The following is a 23,592-nucleotide window of genomic DNA, read 5'->3' on the forward strand; positions in this document are numbered from 1 at the left end:
ATATATATATATATATATATTTTTTTTTTTTTTTTTTTTTTTTTTGAGACAGTCTTGTTCTGTTACCCAGGATGGAATGCAGTGGCCTGATCTCGGCTCACTGCAACCTTTACTTCCCGGGTTCAATCAATTATCGTGCCTCAGTCTCCCTAGTAGCTGGGACTACAGACGCATACCGCCACACTCAGCTAATTTTTGTATTTTTCATAGAGATGGGATGGGGTTTCACCATGTTGACCAAGCAGGTCTCAGACTCCTGACCTCAAGTGATCCACCCGCCCCAGCCTCCCAAAGTGCTGGGATTACAGGTGCGATCCACTGCACCTGGCCTTTCTGTGAAATTTTTCCTGACATCTCCTGTAGTTTCTACTTACTTTGATTCTACTGTATATTTTTATAGCTTATTTTACAAATTTATTACAATGTACAGTAAAAGTTTTTATATCTGAAATCCCTGCTAAGCTATGGGTTCCTAAGAAACAGGCATTCTTTCCACTTTATCTCTAGCTTGTACCTCTCTCCTAAGCTCCAGACTTTCATATCCAATTATCTATTCGATATCTCCATTTCATGTTTTACAGACATCAAATTGGCACATAGAACTATTGATTTCCTTCTCCATGGCAACAAATGGCATTACCATCTATTTCCCTGCTAAGGTCATACTTATTCCATTCTTTTCCCACACTTCATATGTAATCTATCCGAAAGTCCCGTTTTGATGCTCGCTAGTCTCCAGCAATAACAAACTTCTTTCTAACCTTCCAACATACCAGCCTCATTCACTGAAGGGCCTATACACTGTGTCCTCCAGATAGTCACCTGGCAGCCTCCTCACTTCAACATTCAGGCTTCAATTCAAATCAGTGCTTTAAGGCTCCACTCTGTGACCCTAGCTAAAGCAATGGCCTTGCAGAAGCCCACTACCTCCACCCAACGACACTCTACAACATCTTCGAAACACTCATGTCTAAGTGTCTGAAATTATTTTATTTATATTAGTTCAATATTTACAGTTTGTCTCTTTCCTACCTCTCACCAGATGGTAAGCTCCTCCCTGAGAATAAGAGTTCTACCAGTCATATTCATTGTTTTATGAATGCTGCCTAAAATACAGAGTGGGCTCAATAAGTATTTCTAGATGGTCGTACTGTGATTATGTCTTTGAATCCACAGTAGCTAATACTCAGGAAGTGCTCAATAATTGTTTGGTGAATGTAAGCAATTGGTCAAATGGAAATTTTTCTATTATGTTCCTTTCATAACCAATTTTAATAAAATATATAAATGTCCCAAAGCTAAATCCATACTTACTACTGAGCAGTGGCTAGCTGAGGATGATTCATTCTTCTCTGGTAGCAGCAATAGCGATTTCATACTTTCATCATCTGTATAATCGACAGGCCGCAGACCAAATATATTACTGGTAAAATAAGTGCAGATGTGTTTAAGTAAGTCAAATGTGTGACTCGACTCAATTTTTCAACATCCTTAATAATATACAATTTTAACTAAAATAAATTACTCAGAACTCATATTAGGCAGAAGAATCTAGAATCAAAAGCTGCTGAACTCAAAGGAGAAATGATGTAAAATTTCAGTTTGACATCAGATTATAGGGATTGTTTTTACTGAATATAGTATTATGAATTTTTCACAACTGTATTCTGCATTCTTATTCATATTAAAATATGGCTTCATAATCACCAATCACTATAAGTGACAGACTTTCAAATGCCAATAAAAATCATTTACTATAGCTATTATAGGCCATATAGTCTTTATAAACCAATAAAAAATTAGATAAATTCACAGGACAGGGATTTTGTTCTACTAGAAGGAAAATTATGCCACATAACAAACAGTTTAATAATATAGTTAACAGGGTACTTTAAAAATTAATTTAAACATGTGTGCATACAATAACCTATAATAATCACAACCATCGCAGAACAAAGTATTATGGCTCAGAGAGATACAAACTTCTCAGCATGTACTAATTCACAAGTCACAGAATGTTACGCTGGAAGAGATTTTAGAGATCCCAGTTTGATCCTGTTCAAGATAAGAAAAAAAAGAGAGAAGAACAAGTTCCAATGGCTTAACTAAGGTCATATTCTCCTTGTTCAATTTCACTGAAATTAAATATTGCCCAGCCTAAAGTCTTTCAATTATAAGTAACTTGTTAAAACTAAAGGACTTCTGTCTACTATTCTGTTTCCTTACATATGGTTTCAGAATATGATTTAAATACACTATACCATGGCAAGAAGTTTTCAAAATGAGCAATTCTTTTATAGTCTTCTATGTTTTTTTTAAAGATTATGCTATATTCATATAATGGCCACAGAAGTCCATGTGAAAATCCAATGCAGTAAATGGGACATGAAGTTATAAACATGGTATAATACTAATTCTGTAAATTGTATCAAATGTATAGAAAAAGATCTGGAAGGAAACAGAGAGAAACATTAGGGGAAGTGAAAGGTAGAAAAATGCCAATTCCGTTTGATGCTGCAGAGAGAGATCATGTAGATGAGGGATATAAGCATCTACTGAGTTCACAGACAAGGTCACTAATGACCTTGGTGAAAACTGTTTTGATGGCAGAGTGGGAAAAGAAAGCTAATGTATTAGAATAAGAAATGAACCACAGCAAATGTTTCTCTAATGACTGCAATTCGTGACTATCAGGTCCAATTGCTTTCTTCTTTGGACAGTCCTGGGTAAACACTGACAAGTTTGTATTCTGACTCTTCTTTATGTCCAAGTCCAACAACCTTCCTCTGGCAACAGTCTTTCTCCAGCCAAGATATAATACAGCGGATTGCATTTCAGCTTTATAATTTAAAACAAAGTGACACATGTCACAGTATACATTTACAGCAGACAATCTCAGGGTATTTTAAAAGAAACTCATCCACTATTCTTGATACTTCCTAATTCATTCTCTAAATTATTATGCTCATATACCAACTACACAATCTCCTCACCCACATATGCTATACATATGACAATCAAAAAATAGAAATCTGAGTTGAAGAACCAATGTTCTAGGTCTTAAACCACCAAGTGCAAAAATGAATAAACAAAACAACAACAACATATAATGGCCACATTATATGCCATCCAAAAAAAAAAATCATAACTGCATAGCCATGATTGCACCATGGTACTCCAGCCTGAGCAAGAGATACTGTTTCAACAAAAAAAGAAAAAATGAGAAAAAAAAAAATCCATGCATACACTAGGACTTTTTGACAGAGACAAACATAGACCTTACACCTCAAAAAAATAAAATCTAAGAGCCCAATCAAGTGCACTTTAATGCACAGCAACTGAATCACATTAGCATAGTTATTTTACACATATTTGAAAAAAAGTGCATGATGACAACATGAAAAACTGTTCAAGTGCTTCTCAAAGTACCACCATCAGCTAGGGAGGAATATAAACCAAAAATCAGCCAGTAAAACATGGTCTAAGCCAGTAAGATGATTTTACAAAGTGACTACCAGAGTTCCAATTTACATTTAGGATCCTTACTATACAAAGCTTACTATGTCATATGGTCTTAAAACATGTGGTTTCTCTGCTTGGATTATGGATGGCTTCTGCTCACACACAATTCACTAAACTCTTAGCCCTCCTGTAACGCTAATGAACTGAATGGCACATTACAAGTGCTACAGATGGAAAGATAATCAGTTTACCTCAGTCCTGCATCATGGGAAATAGAGCCTATTAAATCCAGTCATGTTGCTTCTGCTTTGTCATGAACCATTAAAATTTGGAAGTAGATGTAAGTTTACATGTGGGACGTTCAAAGACCATAGCAAGAGAAGATGGGGCATGTGTAAGATTTCTTATTATTTGGGCACAATAATGTGTGCTTTCTTCCCACTGATGTATTTTAACAGACTAACACTTTAGTTAGAGAATTAGTGTGAAAAATCAATTTAAAATACACAGAGGTGGATTTTATTCCCATTGTAAAACTAATAGGTACTACATACAGGAAAAGTTATGTTGAAATGTATCTCAGGAACTATTAACATGACTTATTACTAAATAGAGAAGTCAGTGATAAATACATTATTCTTCATCACTATACAAGGGAAGAAGACTCTTTTTTAGATTTACTACATCATGGACTCAAAACAGACATCAATAACTTGATTTGATATTTATTAGAATGGGTTACTGGGGAAGCTTATAAAATGGCTTTTTCTAAATACACTTAAATATAGTAAATTCTCTCTTTTCTAGCATGATTTAACCTAAAGTTTTACCAAACTAGGTGTTTTGGAGGGACACATAAGACTTAGAAAAACACTGTCCTTGCCTATAATCCTACTGAGGATAAACGTTCATTCAACAAACAGGTATCAAACTGATAAAGTATAAACCCAAACAAGTAATGAGGTGAAATAGAAGATAAGATTTAAATGGCCTTGATCCCAGGACTAGAAACTGGAATATGGTGGTTAACTGTTAAGGGGCCGTGTAGGGAATAAGCAACATGATTACTGAAATGGATGCAACTGATGGAAGAAAGCTTTCTATCAAACCTTCTAGGCACTGTGTGCTCATGTGTAGAAACCAAACACAGTATGAAAAACCAATGAAAAAATCAGATATAAAGCAATGAACATTACAGACACAAAGCGTATGTTGCTGTGAAAATGGAAAGGCACATGTGTCTACTAGCTAAATGACATGGGTCAATGCAACACCAAAATATTTAAAACTATTTTGGAATATATGAAAATGTCGAGATCTTAACTGCTGAATTTACATCTAGTACACGACAGTATATTAATATCTTTTACATGTACCACTTTCGACAGTCAGTTCTTTTAATGCCTTATCAACGGACAGTCGCGAATTCAGTGAATTGAAAATGATTATATGTAGATAATATACTTTACCTATACTGATAAGGTTTCTATTTGTGTCCCCGCCCAAATCTCATGTCAAATTATAATTCCCAATGCTGGAGGTGGGGCCTGGTGGGAAGTGACTGGATCATGGGGGCGGATTTCCTCCTTGCTGTTCTTGTGATAGTGATTGAGTCCTCACCAGATCTGGTTGTTTAAAAGGGTGTAGCACTAATGACCAGGAAAATGCAAATCAAAACCATATTGATACCACCTTACTCCTGCAAGAATGGGCATAATTAAAAAATAAAAAAATAACAGATGTTGGCATAGATGTGGTAAACAGGGAACACTTCTACACTGTTGGTGGAAATGTAAACTAGTACAACCACTATGGAAAACAGTGGAGATTCCTTAAAGAACTAAAAGTAGAGCTACCATTTGATCCAGCAATCCCACTACTGGGTGTCTACCCAGAGGAAAAGAAGTCATGATATGAAAAAGATACATGCACATGCATGTTTATAGCAGCACAATTTGCAACTGCAAAAATGTGGAACCAACCCAAATGCCCATCAATCAATGAGTGGATAAAGAAACTGTGGTGTATATATACAATAGAATACCACTCAGCCATAAAAATGAATGAACTAATGGCATTCACAGCAACCTGGATGGGACTGGAGACTATTATTCTAGGTGACGTAACTCAGGAGGGAAAATCAAACATTGTATGTTCTCATTCATAAGTGGAAGCTAAGCTATGGGGATGCAAAGGCATAAGAATGACACAACAGACTTCACGGACTCAAGGGGAAAAGGTGGGAAGGTGGTGAAGGATAAAAGACTACAAACTGGGTTCAGTGTGTACTGCTCGGGTGATGGGTACACCACAATCTCACAAATCACCACTAAAAAACTTACTTGTGTAACCAAATACCACTTGTTCCCAAAAACCTATGGAAATAAAAAAATTATAATAAATAAATAAATTAAAAGGCTGCAGCACCTCCTCGCCTCTTCCTCCTGCTCTGACCACGTAAGATGTGCCTGCTTCCCCTTCATCTCCCACCATGACTGTAAGTTTCCTGAGGCCCTTCCTGTATAGCCTGGGGAGCCATGAGCCAATTAAACCTCTTTTCCTTATAAATTACCCAGTCTCAGGTGTTTCACAGCAGTATGAAAAGGGACTAATACATATACTGAATCCTAAAAATTCAAAGGCTCTAATTTTTTTTCTGTTCCTTGACAACACAGTACACTGGCAGATTTCACCAGTTTTTTTTTTTTCTAATGTACTCTTGCGCTATTCCTTTACCTATGATTTTAAATCATAATGTGGAAAATATGCTTTATAAAATCTTTAAAGATATGACTGGAGATTTTACATTTTAAAATCTTGAACAGACAATCCAGGTGTTCATGTGTCATTGCTTTTTGCTATCTAAAATGTAGTATGAAATACTGGATGATTTGTTACTGATGTTGATAGAACCTATGTGAAAATGGATATATGTATTAATATACATAATGCATGATATATATATTGCATATATCAGAAGTAGCAATAATCGTTTATTTATTTAACACACATGGAATGAATATATTTGTATAAACAAGTAGGGGGAAAAGTCACAAACTCTGTTTTGCAATTAGTTTGGAAAATAGTCATCATTCAGCAAATACTTTGAAAAAAATGTACCAACAACTTTTGGCACTATAGAAACAATGTCCTCACAGAACTCAGAGGAGGAAAGCAGAGAGGCACACAGAAAAGGTTTTGCAGTCTGGTAAAGCTCCCCAGACCTGAAAGGGTAAGGAAGAAAAGCGGGTACACAAACAGAATAAGAATATCCTAGCAGACAGAAAAGTGTGTGAAGGACTTTAAGTGAGATAGCACTTAGAACTTTTTAGAACCACCAAAAAAAAGGAAAAAAGGGGGTAAAGGGAGAGTGAGAGAAAGAGAGGGAATGTACCACAGGAATATGAGGTACTCTCGAACTGTAAGCTATGGTCAGATTATATAAGAACAAAGAGGAGGTGTTAAAGAGTTGGACTTCCTCCCAAAGGCAATAAGAAACCCTGAACAGCTTCCTAAATCATTGTAAGCAGGAGGGATGGCATCAACGTAGCATGGTAGTTAAGAGTTGGGGTTACCGAATAAGACTGCCTGAACTTACATTTCAGCCCTGCCACTCAAAAGTCTTATGACTTTACACGAATTACTTAAATCCCGTGCCTGTTTCCTCATTTATAAGATGGAAATAATAACACTATCTATTTTACAGGATTGTTGCCAGAATCAAATGAATACATCAAAAGCATTTAAAACAGTACCTAGCATATATGAACAGCTCAATAACTGCCATTATATTACTGTATTGGATTTGCATTTTTGGAAGACAGATACAGAATGAAGATAAGGGCACAAAATAAGTTATGTCTGGAGCATTAACCTCATATCTTCATTTTCCCCAATTTTATGATACAATTGATGCATGTTTTTCATGATAATCTGGAAGTTTACTAAGGGAAAGTATAGAATTATGTCTTCTTAACAACATTCTAAGAGTAGATTTTCATTTTCCCATGTGGCACTATCTAAAGAGTATGAACCACATAACTCTGAAAATCCTTTTCCTAACTAGGAATCCTTCTGATCCTGAAGATGAGGAAAAGGAAGTACTTATGAAAGGGCTAAACTGTGGTGTTCAATGTTTCAGTTTTGTCCCAAAGGCCACATTCAGGATGCAGTATAACCTTTTAATATCCTTTTCCCCTCAGTAATAATATGGCAGACACCTGCCTACAATGGTGATCTGAATTCATTACACCACTAATAAAAGAGAGAAAGGAGAGATGGGCAAATTTAAACTTGTACTTGCATGTACAGACCATCCAAACTGCAAAAACATATGCAAAAAGGCATTTTTACTAATACTAAATCTATCACGCATGACAGGATACCAAGAGAGTTCATGAATGAAACCCTTCATGAATAACTACAAAACTGCAAACATATAGATTTAATTTTTCAAGTCACTTTGCTTGCTATGGAGCAGGATAAAGCAGAGTAATTCAAACTAGCAACATGGGTTTTTAAAGCTATAAAACATAAATTATCTCTGGCAATTAATTTTTTAAAATTAACCTAGGGCAGTGGGACAATTAATAGGTCCAATGGTCCATGTAATATTTTCTACTTCAGAATTCAACATCCTTCCAAGGAAAACTGTTAATGGCAGATCAAGTACCACATTCTAAAATCCTACATATCCATTAAAAATAAAAAAAAAGAAGCACATGTTATTCGCCACACACTCAAAATGGTTCTCATGTGACCGTAAGAGCTGTGGTTCTAGCTTCACACTGGGATGTACAGAGGGCAGTGGGGAAGACAGATTACCAATGATGTTTTGAACAGTTATAAATACTCCCAGACAACAAAGATTATAAATCTTTTTTTCATGATCTAGGGTTAAAACAGAACTGACTTTCTTATTGTTTTAGCTCACAAAAGGTACTTTTTTTATGCAAAAAAAAATTAAGGGTTAAATGACTTAATACTGTTATTTAAATGCAAGACATATAAAAACAGTAAGTTGCCAGAATATTAGAGTTAAATCAAAACAAAAGAGAAAGTATGAAGTAGATATATGACTTTCCACTGTACATTCGAATCCTCCATAATTATAAAGATTTAGGGCCCAAAAACATTGCAGTAGGAAAATTAATAAAGAACACAGCCTCTATGGGAAAAAATAGGATTGGGAGACTTCACTGGTGAACTATAAAAGCTCATTTAATTTAAAATTAAATAGTGAAGATGGCAAATAAAGAGTATCATTGACTTTAAATTCATACCACAATATGGTTAATTCTTAGCTATTTTGCCTTGCCTTATAAGGTTTCAAGATTTCCCTCCACCAATATTCAATAGGACGCTTTTAAATTCACTTGGCTTTGCAGCAGATAATACTCCATTCTTTTTCCTATGTCTAGTCTTCCACACACATTCAATGTCTAACTTATATGACTGAGTTGGTTACTGTCCCCACTTCCTGGGCTACAAAAAAAGCTCTCAGTTATCTTTATATTTTATATGTCACTACTGAAAAGGTACTTCTTAAGCCTGGTCTCCAATATTTAAAGTCACATCTTACTTAGCACCATTCATGATACATTATTATTATTATTTGAGACCGAGTCTCGCTCTGTCCCCCAGGTTGGAGGGTGGTGGCACGATCTCGGCTTACTGCAACCTCCGCTTCCCAGGTTCAAGCGATTCTTGTGCCTCAGCCTCCCGAGTAGCTGGGACTACAGGCACACGCCGCCACACCCGGCTAATTTTTGTATTTTTAGTAGAGATGGGGTTTCACCATGTTGGCTAGGCTAGTCTCGAACTCCTGACCTCAAGTGATCCACCCGCCTCGGCCTCCCAAAGTGTTGGGATTACAGGCATGAGGCACTGCGCCAGGCCCATAACTTATTAATAATGCCAGAACATGTATCAGGATAAAACCTGGATTACTTAGCCCTCTTATACAAGCCTTCCTCTCTCCCAGTGACATCCGAGACTAACTCTATGGCTGGATTTTGTCTTAGTTTTTCTTCTCTCTCCTAGGGCTGCATTACAAAAATATTTACTCTTCTAATTCAAACTAATATTCTTACAGTAACAGGAAAGTTATAAAGTTAATCAAAATCACAGCCTCAGATAAAACGTCAAAATAGGTAAAAGTTTTACAGTTCACAGGGACTTTTTTCTTTTTTTTTTTTTTAGATGGAGTCTCGCTCTGTCGCCCAGGCTGGAGTGCAGTGGTGCGGTCTCGGCTCACTGCAACCTCCGCCTCCCGGGTTCACACCATTCTCCTGCCTCAGCCTCCCGAGTAGCTGGGACTACAGGCGCCCACCACCACGCCCAGCTAATTTTTTGTATTTTTAGTAGAGACGGGGTTTCACCGTGTTAGCCAGAATGGTCTCGATCTCCTGACCTCGGGATCCACCCGCCTTGGCTTCTCAATCCACAGGGACTTTTTAAGGATGAACTTGATGGGATAAAAAAAAAAAGTCCATTTTCTCTTTAGTGTCTGTATTTTATTATGAATACACTGGTCTATCAGAGTGATTACTACTAATAACAAAACTAGAGAGATCTCCAAAAATTATATAATATGTGAGTTATCAAAATAGATACTGTTATGCTAAGTTGGCAGGGGGCAGGATATTTCCAGAAGACATTCTATTCATGTTCCAGAGAAGAGGAAAGGTAAAAAGAAAAAAAAAAAAAGCATTCTGATTACTTTTTAGAAACTATGAGTATAATTTTGGTATCAAAATCCGAGGCAAAAAAATGAAAGATAAAAATCACAAATCACTCTAACTTATAATCATAAATGCAAAATTCCTAAAACCCTAGCAAATTCATGTAAAATTTGTGTTTAAATGATGCACAACACCAAGTCAAGGTTATCCCAGGAATACAAGCATTATTTAATATTTTTAAATGTATTAACAACATCAATAGTCAAAAAAGCATAAGCTTTGGGAGGCTGAGGTGGGAGGATCGCTTGAGCCCTGGAGTTCAAGACCAGCTTGGGCAACACAGTGAGACCCTATCTCAAAAACAAAAACAAAAAAAGTATAAGATCATCTCTGCAGAAGCTGAAAATCATTCAATAAAATAAAATACAGTCTTGTTAGAAAATAATAAAGGGAAGAAAGCTTCCACAGGGCAATAAAGAACATTAATCTTTGTATTTAATATGGATATTAGTATTGACTATAACTCTATGGGTCAGTACTTTTTTAAAAAAGGAAGAACAAAACAAGCAAGCCAACTATCATCATTATTGCATCATTCTGGAAGCACTGACAAATGCAATAAGAAATAGAAGTTAATAAATGATAATTAGATCTTTAGAATTAGGTGTTGACTGGATAGAAACGTACTAAATCAACAGCTCTCCTATATATCAAGAATAACAAATTATATTTATTAACACAATATCCAGTTTACTAGCAACAAATAATCAAATACTATACAGGTTGAGCATTGCTAATCCAAAAATCTGAAATTTGCAACGCTCCAAAATTGGAAACTTTTTGAGCACCAATATGACACAAGCGGAAAATTCCAAACACAGTACTTAAAAAACCATTTTAATGCATAAAATTGTTTAAAATATTGTATAAAATTACCTTCAGGCTATGTGTATAAAATGTTTATGAAACACAGATAAATTTCACATTTAGTCTTGAGAACCATCCCTAAGACATCTCATTACGTATATGCAAATATTCCAAAATCTGAAAGAAATCCCAAATACTTCTGATCCCAAGCATTTTGGGCAAGGGATACTCAGTCTATAACTAGAATAACCTCAATTAATAGGTATATGCATGTGTATACCTACATACATATATATGAAACAGACTAAAAACTTTACTAAGATATATATAACAGAATGCTTAAACAAATGGAGACATGCAGCTTGGTCCTGATTACTTTTTAGAAGCTATGAGTCTAACTTTGATATCAAAATCTACCGACAAGAAGTGAAAGATAAAATCACAAATCACTCTAACTTTTAAAATGCAAAATTCCTAAACAAAAACCTAGCAAACTGATGTATTCATTTAAAGAATAACACACGACATAAAGTTTATCAATCGACTTGATAGAAACCAACTTTATTAATCCACTGTATATACTTACCAATTTCAATCAACATCCTAATCGGTACTCCACTAGAATCTATGTACGTACCCAACTTCAAAACATCCTAATATGGTATTTTTGAAACAGTACAAAGTAAATCAAACTTCATTTGAAAGAATAAATTAATAAATATGGCTAATTCTCCACCCCACCCCCCTCCCACCACTACTGTCACTACTTTGATTTGACTCTCATCACTCCTTTCCTGGATTACTGGACAAACCTCTTAACTGAGTTCCCTCCCCAGTGTGAAGGAGGAGGTTTTCAACTTAAAATCAGCACTCTGTTTAGCACACACAGCCTTTCAAAGACCCTGCCCATCTTCTCTGGCCTCTCATCCTCCTCCATCCTTTTATTCCACTTACATCACTAACGGAAGTTCCTAGAATGAATGAAGAAGCAGTCTGGCCTTGAGTACCTTAGCACCCATATCTTATCTTTCTCAAAATCCCATCCTCCCGTTCTATTTTTTCAAAACTCGAAGTTCTTCTTCTTCCAGAAAGCCTTCTGTGACTTCCTCTGGTCTTACTTTCAGCCCTAGCTGAGACTTTCATACTACTGTGAGCACCGTGCTATGAAGGCATACCTCACACCATTCTATAATCAGTGCTTTAACAGACTGTTCACTGTTCACTCCTACTAGAACAGAAGCAGGCAGACAACTGAGGGGATGATGAGGCAAAGGAGCAATGGAGGGACTATGAGAAGACTTAAGAAGAAAGGAAGGCATCTAAGAGAAAACTTCAACCTTGAGGTCATGAAGAACACAGCCAAAATGTCTATGCTAGAGCTAAAGGAGGCCACTTAGAAATTTACAGTAAGCAAAAAGGACTTTACTTCTTCAATCAGCCAAAGTAGCAAACCCTAAAGAGGGTCAGACAGAATGGTGTTTGCCCTTGCTGGTTCTTACCCTTCTTCCATGGGAAGAGTTCAGGCCTGGTTATTGAGAAAAGAGTTCCAGCAAGAGTAAGAGATACAGTAAGCAGAGACAGAAAAAGTTTGTTTGCCAACTCAGATTCCAGAATTTGAGATGTTAATGGTTTATAAGGAGTAAGAGCTTCAGGAAGAAATAGAAGAGTAGTAAGAATCCCATAGTCTCCATGCTCCAGACCCCCTTCCCATGATCTCCTTAAGAAATGGAGGAAAGGGCAGGAATAAATTTCATCTATTCTCACCTGTTACTACCTAATTCTAGAAGACAGTCTCTAGAACATTGAGACAGCATGCACTTAAAAGTCAAGGCTATAGGAATTACTTTGGGTAGCCACAATCCCACAAAAAGTAACATGCCATGGATGCCAATTGGGCAAAAGCTGCCAGGAACCAGTTCAACCACCTTAGAAAAGGCACAGATATGGGAAACTTGGTTTTAGACATCTTGTCACACAGTAAAGGTAGTGGCAGAAGGAGGCAATTCCCATTTTCATGTCATCTGACCTTTTATCAAAAAAGAGGAAAAAGTATACCATAATCTTCATTCATTCAAACACTAATTCACTCTACAAACAAATGTGGATACAGACTACATTAGGCACTTGGCAGAACTAGGGAGGGCAGACATGATCCCTGGCCCATACAGCTTACAGCCTCACGAGAAGGGAGGAAACAGTAAGTCCTACGACTGGGGAGAAGTACCACATCAGGAAAGGTGGCCAAAAGGACAGGATAACCCAGGTGAAACCCAAATGAGAAACTGGCTACCAAAAACAAATATTCTAGACAATGCAAAGACATGTACAAAGGCTAGGAGGTAAAAGACCCTACATATTTTAAGGAAACAAAAATTCAGAAAAGCTGGTGCAAAAAATGCTTGAAGGAAAGGGGGAAAGGAGAAGCTGTGAAGACCGATGAGAACAGAGAGGAAAGTAGCACCAGACCATCCAGGGTCTTATAAACCATATTTTGGGATTTAACCTTTATTTTAAAAACATTAAGAGGAAGCCACGGAAGGATTTTAAGCAAATAAATGACTTGGCCAGACTCGTGTTCTTCTGCAGGTGCTCTGGCTGCAGGATGGAGAGTGAATAAAGAAAAGTAACCTGAAAAGGAGGAGAACAGTCAGGAAATTTGTAAAGCCAATCAGATGAACAACAATGACTACGACATGTTTTTAAGAGGCAAAAAACACAGGAAAAAAGTATGAAGACCAATAGTCTGGAAAGGAAATTTTTAGAAACAGCCACCATACTCTTGTACCCTAGGATTAAATCTGTCCCTTCATCTGCCCTACTATCCTTTATCCAATATCAATCCCAACCTCTTGGGTGAAATAAACCCTACTTCCCAACTGCCCAGCTGTATCAACCAGCTGTCCAACACAGTAGTCACTGGCACATATGGTTAAAATAAAATACATTTTAAAATTTATTCCTTGGTAGCAATAGCTAATTTTCAAGTGTTCAATAGTAAAGGTGACTAGTGGCTACTGAATGTCCAGCATAGATATAAACATTTCCACCACCACAGAAAGGTCTACTGGACAGTGCTGAGGAACAGATATACCTAAATTTGCCACTTCACTAGGTAGTCCTACTTAAACCAACACTGAAGGCACCTGTGAAGGCAGACTCACTCACTGTCTCATGCCACTCCTTGTATATTAATAAGCCCTCACAGTGCAGTGACGAATCATGGTGTACAAACCACAAGACAGGCTCTGTGTTTTGGCTCATTAATCCTCACTATGCTCTGAAGAAATAGAAATGCAGCAGGCATCACCCATGTTTTATAGGTGAGGACACCAAGGCACAGAAATTAACCTGCCTGAAGCTATACAGTCAGTAATGGAGTCACAAATAAAAGCTAGATTCCCTAACGCCCTGACCAGTGCTCCATCCATTAAAGTAGTCATGGCTGATTTAAGAACCCTAGAATGAAAACTAGTCAGTTTCACCTGACCCAAGCAATAATTTGCGTTACCAAATAGCTTGCAACACATATGGGAGGGTCATATCGGTTAGGTCCTTACAAAGAAATAGGTCCATGTATATGGAGACACACACAAACACGCACGTGTGTACACACACACACACACACAAATAAAAACCGGAAGAATATACACATCCCCTGAATTTGCCCCAATTATCTTATAACCTGTGATGAGAGATAAAAGAGATTAGACACATTTACTGAAACTAACAGCACCAAGGTATGGTACATTCTTGCATTATTAATTTGGTTTTCAATTATGTTAAATAATTACCAATAAAAAATTACGACCTAGAAGCCCTGCATTTTATAATTCTTATTTGCATCTGTTACCATTGAAAACTTAATTTTTTTGTGCCCTTTTCAAACCTATAGAAGCAACAAGGGCAGAGACGCAATACCTGCATTTTCATTTCAACTACTTAATTAACTGAAAAGAATAAAATACTACATAGGGAGACATGAACCAAGTTACAGATTAAAGATACAAAATCTACATACAGCATTTGCTTGTGACACTCTTGACAATGCCAATTTTAAAATCCAGCTGCTGGCATTCACTAATGCATCTCTGTGTCCTGACACTGCAAAAAGTTCACCCAGAACCTCATGTGAATGATGTAAAAAATTTAAGAAATAATTCAACTGCCCCGGCCCAATATTTAAATTCTTATATGCTTTACCTGTTGTAATAGTAAATACACAGAAAAAATAAAATGGGAATGAAATATTTAAAATAATTCCAAACTATTAGGAAGCATACAAAATAATTATTTCTACAATAACTGCTTATTAAAGTGTAAATCAATCTACAGAATATAAACACTAAGTAAATTTTTCCATTAAATGAAAGCTTCCAAAATTGACAACTGTTTCTGAATTAAGAAAGTAAATCTCCCCCAAATATGTCAGCACAGTTATCCCCATTGCTATCCATGGGGAATTGGTTCCTCAACCCGTGATGTCAAAATGTGCCGCTGCTCAAGTTTCTTATAAAAGATGGCATAGTATTTACTTGTAAACTACACACATCCTCCCGTATACTTTAAATCATCTCCAGATTACTTGTAATACCTAATAGTATGAAATGCTGTATAAATATTTATACTATATTGTTTTACCTATATTACTTATTATCGTAGTGTTATTTTTTTTCCCCTTTTTAAACTTTTATTCTAGGTTTTTATTTAAGTTGTGAAGGTTTGTTATATAGGTAAACTTGTGTAACGGGGGTGTGTTGTACAGATTATTTCACCACCCAGGTATTGAGCCTAGTACCTAATAGTTACTTTTTCTGCTCCTCTCCCTCCTCCCATCCTCCACACTCAAGTAGACTCTGGTGTCTGTTGTTCCCTTCTTTGTGTTCATGAATTCTCATCATTTAGCTCTCACTTATAAGTGAGAACATGCGGTATTTGGTTTTCTGTTCATGCGTTAGTTTACTAAGGATAATGGCCTCCAGCTCCATCATGTGCCCACAAAAAAACATGATCTCATTCTTTTTTGTAGTTGCATAGTATTCCATGGTATATATGTAACACATTTTTTTTATCCGATCTGTCATTGATATTTCCCAATTATTTTTGATCTGCAGTTGGCTGAATCCTCAAGTGTAGAACCCAAGAATATGAAGGACCAACTGTATCATAAAAAGGGCATGAAGGCTGATTATGAGTGCAGAATGTGATGATCACATCTAATTTTAGTTGTGAAAGTGAAGAAAGCCATCAACTTGACTATTTTAAAGTCTGCTTTATCACACACCTTGATTCAAGAATATAGGTCCATTTTAAAAATAATTTTTACGTTGAACTACTTACACAGCATTTCTGGAGGCTCCATAGGAAAGTAACAGCTTGACTATATCCACATGCCCATTCTTGGCTGCATCGTGAAGTGGTGAGTCATTTTGATACCCGGTGGTGTTCACCAATGCCTTATGCTGGAGCAATAATTCCACTACCTTCAGGTGCCCATGATTGCAAGCTTCATGCTAATTAAATTTTTTGAAAAAGAAGTGAAAGAAGTGATAAGAAAGAGCAATGGATGATATTATAATATCACACTTTAGAAAAATAAATGTAAACGTCAGGCAGTAAATTTATTGTTACCTAAATACTCAAAAACACTATAAGTTGCTGACAGAGTGAAAGTTACTATTAATAATCTTTCAATCAAGATCTGTGTAACTCATAAAAAAAGAAAGGCTATTCTCATTTGAGCCTTGGGTCAAGCACTTTTCTGTTTTTTAGAAGAAAATGTAGTTTTAAACCAACGGTAGCTCCTTAAATGTTCTACAATAAATGTAACACATTAAGAAAAAAGTCTACATATTTAATAACAAGATGATACATAAAATCTGTACCAGTACATACACATATCATGCAACAAAGTAAGTATCCGTGAAGGAATGCTTTTAAGATAAGCTATTTGCTGAACCTACAAATTGCTGTATGGCTGCTGTTATTGATAAGAGAAATAACACGAGTAGGAATACAAAAAGAGCTTGCTGAATGACAGAAACGGCAACAATGGAGTGTTCAAAGATGCCTTACATCCAAATCTTTCCTTATGTCTAATGAACTATAAACAATGCTGTATTCTAATAAATCTCTGGCATTCTATACTTTTTAAGTACATCAATTTCAATTCATAATAAGTGATATCACACTCAACATCTGTAGGTCTATTTTTAGGAGAAAGGAATCCAAACTAGGCACTAAACCCTCTAAATCACTAACCAATCTTTACTACAACTTGCCTTAGTGGCTTTGAAGAAAAAAATAAAATTAACCTTTCTTTGAAAAGGTTAGCCAGCCAGTAGAGTCCAACCAGCAAAGCGACTGATCTAGACTAAACTCTCCCAGCTTTCTTGCACCTAGCCTACTGAGAGTCTCCTAATTTCTGGGCTGAATTTCTAGTTACAGGATGAAGGCATCCACTTCATTTGCTGACACTTCTGTGGCTGCATTCAAATCTCATGTTTGTCCTAATGTAATTGGCCTACATACCAATTGTTTCCAAGTATTTGTGTCATTCTGTTTCCAGATTATGCTTCACACTTTTTTAGTAATAATAAGCAAAGACCTTTAAAAATGTTTAATGTAAGCAAAGATTTCTACTGCCTTATATATCTACAATTGGATAGGGTATAAGTGAGGCTAAGATAGACCCTCAGTGAGAATTACTTCCTTGTGATCACTTTCCTATACTCAGTTCCTCCGACCTCTTTTTGTTCCAAGAAATTTGGTTCCAGTGACATGCAGTGCTACAGAATGGAGCCTGATGTCAGCTGTAGCTGTTACCTCTAGACATTAGCTAAATTCTGCAGTACAGTACAAATGGATTCCTAAATCTAAAGGTAGTCTGTCAAAAGGTAACCAATTTCTTGCCTGTCACAAATGAAAAGCTAGAAGGAAAGTAATCATGTTCTCATACTTGATGAAAACATAAGTTCTTCAGACTAAAAAGAGTATATGTGGCAGAGGATGATATATAGACAACTACATAACTATAAACTATAAGAACTGTAAAACACAGAAAGAATGAGAATAAAAACCAGACAACTACCAATGGTGTCCATCCAGCATGGTCTTTAACATTTGGATCACTTCCATTTTGTAAAAGGTATTCAACAGAAGGTATGTCGCCCTAGAAAAATGAACAAAACGGAAATTAAAAAGCATTAAGGAAAGAAAGGAAAATATTGAGCTTTTTTAAATGCTGCCTTCTTCAATATAAAGTAAAACTTAAATCGTTTTCTCTTAAGGCTACTGTTCATGAGTTAATAAATTATTAGGCCGGGTGTGGTGGCTCACGCCTGTAATCCCAACACTTTGAGAGGCCAAGGTGGGTGGATCACCTGAGGTCAGGAGTTTGAGACCAGCCTGGTCAACATGGTGAAACCCCGTCTCTACTAAAAATACAAAACTAGTCGGGCATGGTGGTGCCAGCCTGTAATCCCAGCTACTTGGGAGGCTGAGGCAGGAGAATCACTTGAGCCCAGGAGGCAGAGGTTGCAGTGAGCCAAGATCATGTCACTGCACTCCAGCCTGGGCCACAGAGCAAGACTCCGTCTCAAAAAAACAAAACAAAAAAGAAATTGTCTGCGTATAAATTATTCTGAGATATCAAGAAGTACAGTCATGCTTGAATATAGACTACAAAATCTATTAGAAAGCCATATTCAAAATTCATTTCAGGTACCAAATAAAGGACACTGGCCAAAGATCATGTGCTCACAATGAAGTTTTAAAAGCCATAATTTCACTTGTGAAAAAAACAATTTTTGAGCATTTGTAAATGGCTTCTGAGTATTGTTTAAAACAACCAAAACTGTTTAGCCCAGAAGACTACTCAGTGAAACCAAAGTTAAAAAACAGCCAAAAACTGCCATTTTATTGGCAGTTACTCCATCCTAATACATTTAGTTTATATTCACCTTATTTGTTCAACATTTTCTAGGAAGCAACAGTTGCTCTGTTTAAAATGGCAAAAAAAGAGATCAGTACAAACCTATTCAAATCAGCCCACAGAATTAGCATTAAATTTTTTATCCCCCTGCTCCCCGCCCAGTTCAAGACTAAAATCACCACCCATTATCAACTAATTCAACTATACGAAATAGAGCTTCTGTAATGTAGCCTTACAAGTCTTTTCTAACAAGTGGTTTTCAATTTCTCTATTTCTCTATTCCAGTACTCTGGAGAGCTATGCAACAATGTTATAACAGTAGCAACAGTAGCACACTGATGCAATGGAGAAGGCAGATGAGGAATAGTAAGAAATACAATAACTTTACTTTAGAAATCACAACCTCTTTTTAAATCAGATGAGCAAGATCCGGGGAATAAGTGAATTAAAATGAGGCACAAGGCAAGGAAAATACTCTGAAGGCAGACAATATTAATTCGACTTTCATATTAAGACACCGTCAATTATTAAATAGCATTAAAATTGAAGACCCCTTCCAGTTTTGAACTTTCTGTGTCTTGTGTGTCATGATCCAACTAAATCCTACTATAAATGAGTAGACTTTTAAGGTCACTTTAAAGCTGTCTTGAAGTAAGACAAAAAAAATAGCTTCCCTCTGCTGCCAGCCTCCAGCGAAGGTAGACTGTGGCAAAGGAGTTCTGGGGAACTGGTCTCAGGTAGTCTGCCCTCCCACTCTTCTTTTTTATTTTCCTAGAAGTGAGAGATAATAATCCTCCAGCTATCTAATACCAGGGTCTCTTAAATTTGGCCCTTCATGTAATGTGGAAAGATCTGACATCTATCATTTATATTTAATTACATATTACGTTTTAAGTATCCGTTAACTCTTAAAGCCTTTTTAAAAATCTCTAGCTGTAATATAAAGGATACTGTCCCTTTGTAAAACAATGTCAGGCTTTAGGAAGAAGGAGGCATTTATGCAGCGGGATGAAGGTAAAAATTTTCTTGAAATTACATTATTATCACCACTCACTGCAAATATAACTAATCAGTTCTTTTAGGATAACAGGGCAGGGTACAGTACCTAAGTCCATGACGATAAAGCAAAAATATCTAGCAGAGCATACTCTCAAAAAAGACCAAATAAAAAGCTATAGACAGAAGTTACATGCATAACATTGTGTTCAATGAGTTTCGTGAGTGCTTCTTTAGTGAATAAATCTCTCCCCACCCAACCCCTCTCCCAATACTTTTTTCTGAAATTTTTTTCCTCTGTTGGTTTGATAATGTAGAAATCACTAATTCTCCTAAATATAATATTTGATTTTTTTTTCTTTTTAAAAAATTTTGCTGGCCAGACGTGGTGGCTCACACCTGTAATCCCAGCACTTTGGGAGGCTGAGGCAGGCAAATCATGAGGTCAGGAGTTTGAGATCAGCCTAGCCAACATGGTGAAATCCCGTCTCTCCTAAAAACACAAAAATTAGCCAGGCATGGTGGTACACGCCTGTAATCCTAGCTACTCAGGAGGCTGAGACAGGAGAACTGCTTGAACCCAGGAGGCGGAGGTTGCAGTGAGTTGAGATCACACCACTGCACTCCAGCCTGGGCGACAGAGCGAGACTCTACCTCAGAAAAAAAAAAAATGCTTTTTATATCTAATTGTCTCTGTTTCTGTGCTCTGGGCTGTTTCTCAAATCTTCAGTTTTCTAAAAAAGTAAATTCTCATGCAACATACATTTTTATATTCCTAAATTAACAAAATGACCTTAAATGCTCAATGGGTCTAAAAGGATTGTAGGTTTCAAATTAATTACCCCAGTTTCAGGAAAAAAAAAAAAAAAAAAAGCAACATTTTCCCAGATTTCTTAACAGTGCAAATTCTACTTCTAGAGCAAGTTATCATGTATTTAGCAACTGGAGTGCAATGGCATGATCATAGCTCACTGTAACTTCAAGCTCCTGGGCCCAAGCAATTCTCCTGCCTCAGCCTCAGCAGTATGCTACTGCTAGGCATACATCACCATGCCCAGCTAATTTTTTTTATTGTTTTGTAGAGATGGGGGTCTCACTATGTTGCCCAAACTAATGGACTCAAGCAATCTCCTGCCTTAGCTTCCAAAATTATTGGGATTACAGGTGTGAGCCCCTGCAACTTTTGCTTTATATTCATAACGGTTACAAATGAATGCAGGAATATCTGCCAAGATACAAATTTTTTTTTCCAAAACAATCCTGTAACAAGTGAGCAGATAAACTGCCAGAACCACACACATTCCCTATCTTTAACATGAAAGTACTCACACACAAAAACCTTCTCAAAGATTTCCCCATTCTAATTCTACATGGTAATGCAAAAAAAAAATATTAAAGAAGCTTAAAAAATAATATAAACACAATTGTGAAATGGAAGAGTCTCAAGGGAATAGTCAAACAGAAACGGAGTGACAATTTAAAGAATACAAGTAGACTCTCTTTTAAGGTTGTTAGACAGTTGCTATTTTTCTTTCATGTCACCTCTTCATATTATCAAAGTGTCTTCTGTTAACATTCTCCCCACCCCTGAACTGTATAGCTGATTAGCAAACGGCTTGCTTTTTATAACCAATCTGCTTTCTCCTCTCTAGTACTTGAAAGTTTTGTCATATTTTCATCTTTCTACTTCATGTAAATGTAATGTCATGCGCATAAATAAAATTATGATAATTAGATAGAGTCTACAGTAACTGGAATAGCTTGAACTGATATGAAGTAGCCAGGAAATAAATTAAGTTTTGATTCTGGCTTCTTTAAATTACTTTCAAGTACTCACTTTTGGGCTCCTCACAACTTGAAAGAATAATTGAACTTTTCTTAAACCACAGCAAACATAATTTATCTAAGGAAAGTATTTGCCAAGGCTTATTAAAAATTTTAAATGAATTTGGTATTTTCAAGTAATACACTGAAGGCTGAAAATAAGAGTGTGTGTGTGTCCCACTGAATCTTTTATTCCTAATCTTTCAATCAAAGGAAAGATCCTTCACACATTTGTACATACTGCAGATCCACACATATTCCAACAATATAAATTAACTTTCCAAAAACACACACATAAAAACAAAACTTTTCCTTATTATAAATGTTAGCTCTTCTAAAATACCATTAATAAACATATTCATAAAAACAATACAGAACGTTACAATTAAGTATAAGACAAATGACTTGCCTAGCATGGTTAAGCCTTTCCATGTAAATGAACCGACCAGGAACCAAAGACTTCCCTTCTTGGCAATTAGATGCCATTAAAACAAACAAACAAAAATGAACCAACTGGAATGAAGCTCTAAAATATGTTAAATATTTCTGTAGCTTCTTAGAATTTACTGAATAAAATACAGGCATATCTCGGAGATACTGTCAGTTCAGTTCCAGGTCACTGCGATAAAGCAAATATTGCAATAAAACAAGTCACACGAATCTTCTGGTTTCCCAGCACATATAAAAGTTATATGTGCACTATACTGTAGTCTACTAAGTGTGCAATAGCATTATGTTTTTTAAAAAAAATGAACAGACCTTAATTGAAAATAACTTTATTGCTAAAAAATGGTGACAATTGTTTTGCTGGTGGATGGTCTTGCCTTGATGCTGCTGGCTGCTGACTGAGCAAGCAGGTAGTTGCTGAAGGTTTGGGTGGTTGTGACAGTTTCTTAAATCAGGACAATGAAGTATGCCACATCCACTGACATTTCATGAAAGATTTATCTGTAGCATGTGACGCTGTTTGGTAGCATTTTATCTGCGTAGAACTTCTCCCAAGATTGGAGCCAATCCTCTCAAACCCTGCTGCTGTTTTATCAACTAAGATGATATAATTTTCTAAATCCTTTGTTGTCATTTCAACAGTGTTCACAACATCTTCACCAGAAGTAGATTCCATCTGCAGAAACCACTTTCTTTCTCATCTATAACAAACAACGCCTCATCCATTGAAGTTTGATCATGAGGCTGCAGCAATTCAGTTACGTCTTCAGGCTCCACTTCTAATTCTAGTTATCTTGCTATTTCTACTACATCTATAGTTACTTTCTCCACTTAAGTTCTGAACCTCTCAAAGTCATCCATGAAAACTGTAATCAACTCTTTTCCAAACTACTGTTAATGTTAACATTTGGACATCCTCCCATGAATCATCAATGATATTAATGGCATCTAGAATGGTGAGTCATTTCCAGAATCATCTGTGGAATACCCATCTACAACAGCTATAGCCTTACAAAATGCTTAAGTAACAAGACTTGAAAGTAAAGTTACTCCTTGATCCATGGGCTACAGAATTGATGTTTTGTTGGGAGACATGAAAACAGCATTAATGTCCTTATCTTCATCAGAACACTTGGGTGACTAGGTGGCACTGTCAATTAGTAATATTTTGAATATCTTTCCTGAACAGTAGGTCTCAACAGCAGGCTTAAAATATTTAGCAAACCATGCTGTCAAGATGTGCTCCCACCCAGGCTTTGTTGTTCTAAATGGTAAATGAGCATTGGCTTCCACTTCAAGTCACCAGCTGCATTAGCCCCTAACAAGAAAGCCTGTCCTTTGAAGCCAGGCATTGACTTCTCCTTTCTAGCTATGAAAGACACA

The 23,592-nt window shown here is 36.4% G+C and overlaps 1 protein-coding gene across 11 annotated transcripts in view; it reads right to left on the reverse strand.

Moving 5' to 3' along the window:
• BARD1 (BRCA1 associated RING domain 1) overlaps positions 1-23,592 on the reverse strand; it is an 84,038-nt gene that overhangs the window by 25,487 nt on the left and 34,959 nt on the right. For 8 of the 11 annotated variants that reach the window (NR_104215.2, NR_104212.2, NR_104216.2 and 5 more), the window contains 3 exons: positions 18,100-18,180; positions 16,350-16,522; positions 1,315-1,423 (listed from right to left, as the gene is read on the reverse strand). The exons of 1 other annotated variant lie outside the window; for it this stretch is intronic. Coding sequence is in view for 7 of the 10 variants with exons in the window: in NM_001282543.2 (NP_001269472.1) it covers positions 1,315-1,423; positions 16,350-16,522; positions 18,100-18,180 (363 nt within the window). In the remaining 3 variants the exon portion in view is untranslated. The remainder of the gene's footprint in view (positions 1-1,314; positions 1,424-16,349; positions 16,523-18,099; positions 18,181-23,592) is intronic. 2 more of the 11 variants (NM_001282548.2, NM_001282545.2) reach the window with 1 other exon arrangement.

Source organism: Homo sapiens, chromosome 2 (genome assembly GCF_000001405.40).
Source record: "Homo sapiens chromosome 2, GRCh38.p14 Primary Assembly".
In the NCBI taxonomy this organism is placed as follows: Eukaryota; Metazoa; Chordata; class Mammalia; order Primates; family Hominidae; genus Homo; species Homo sapiens.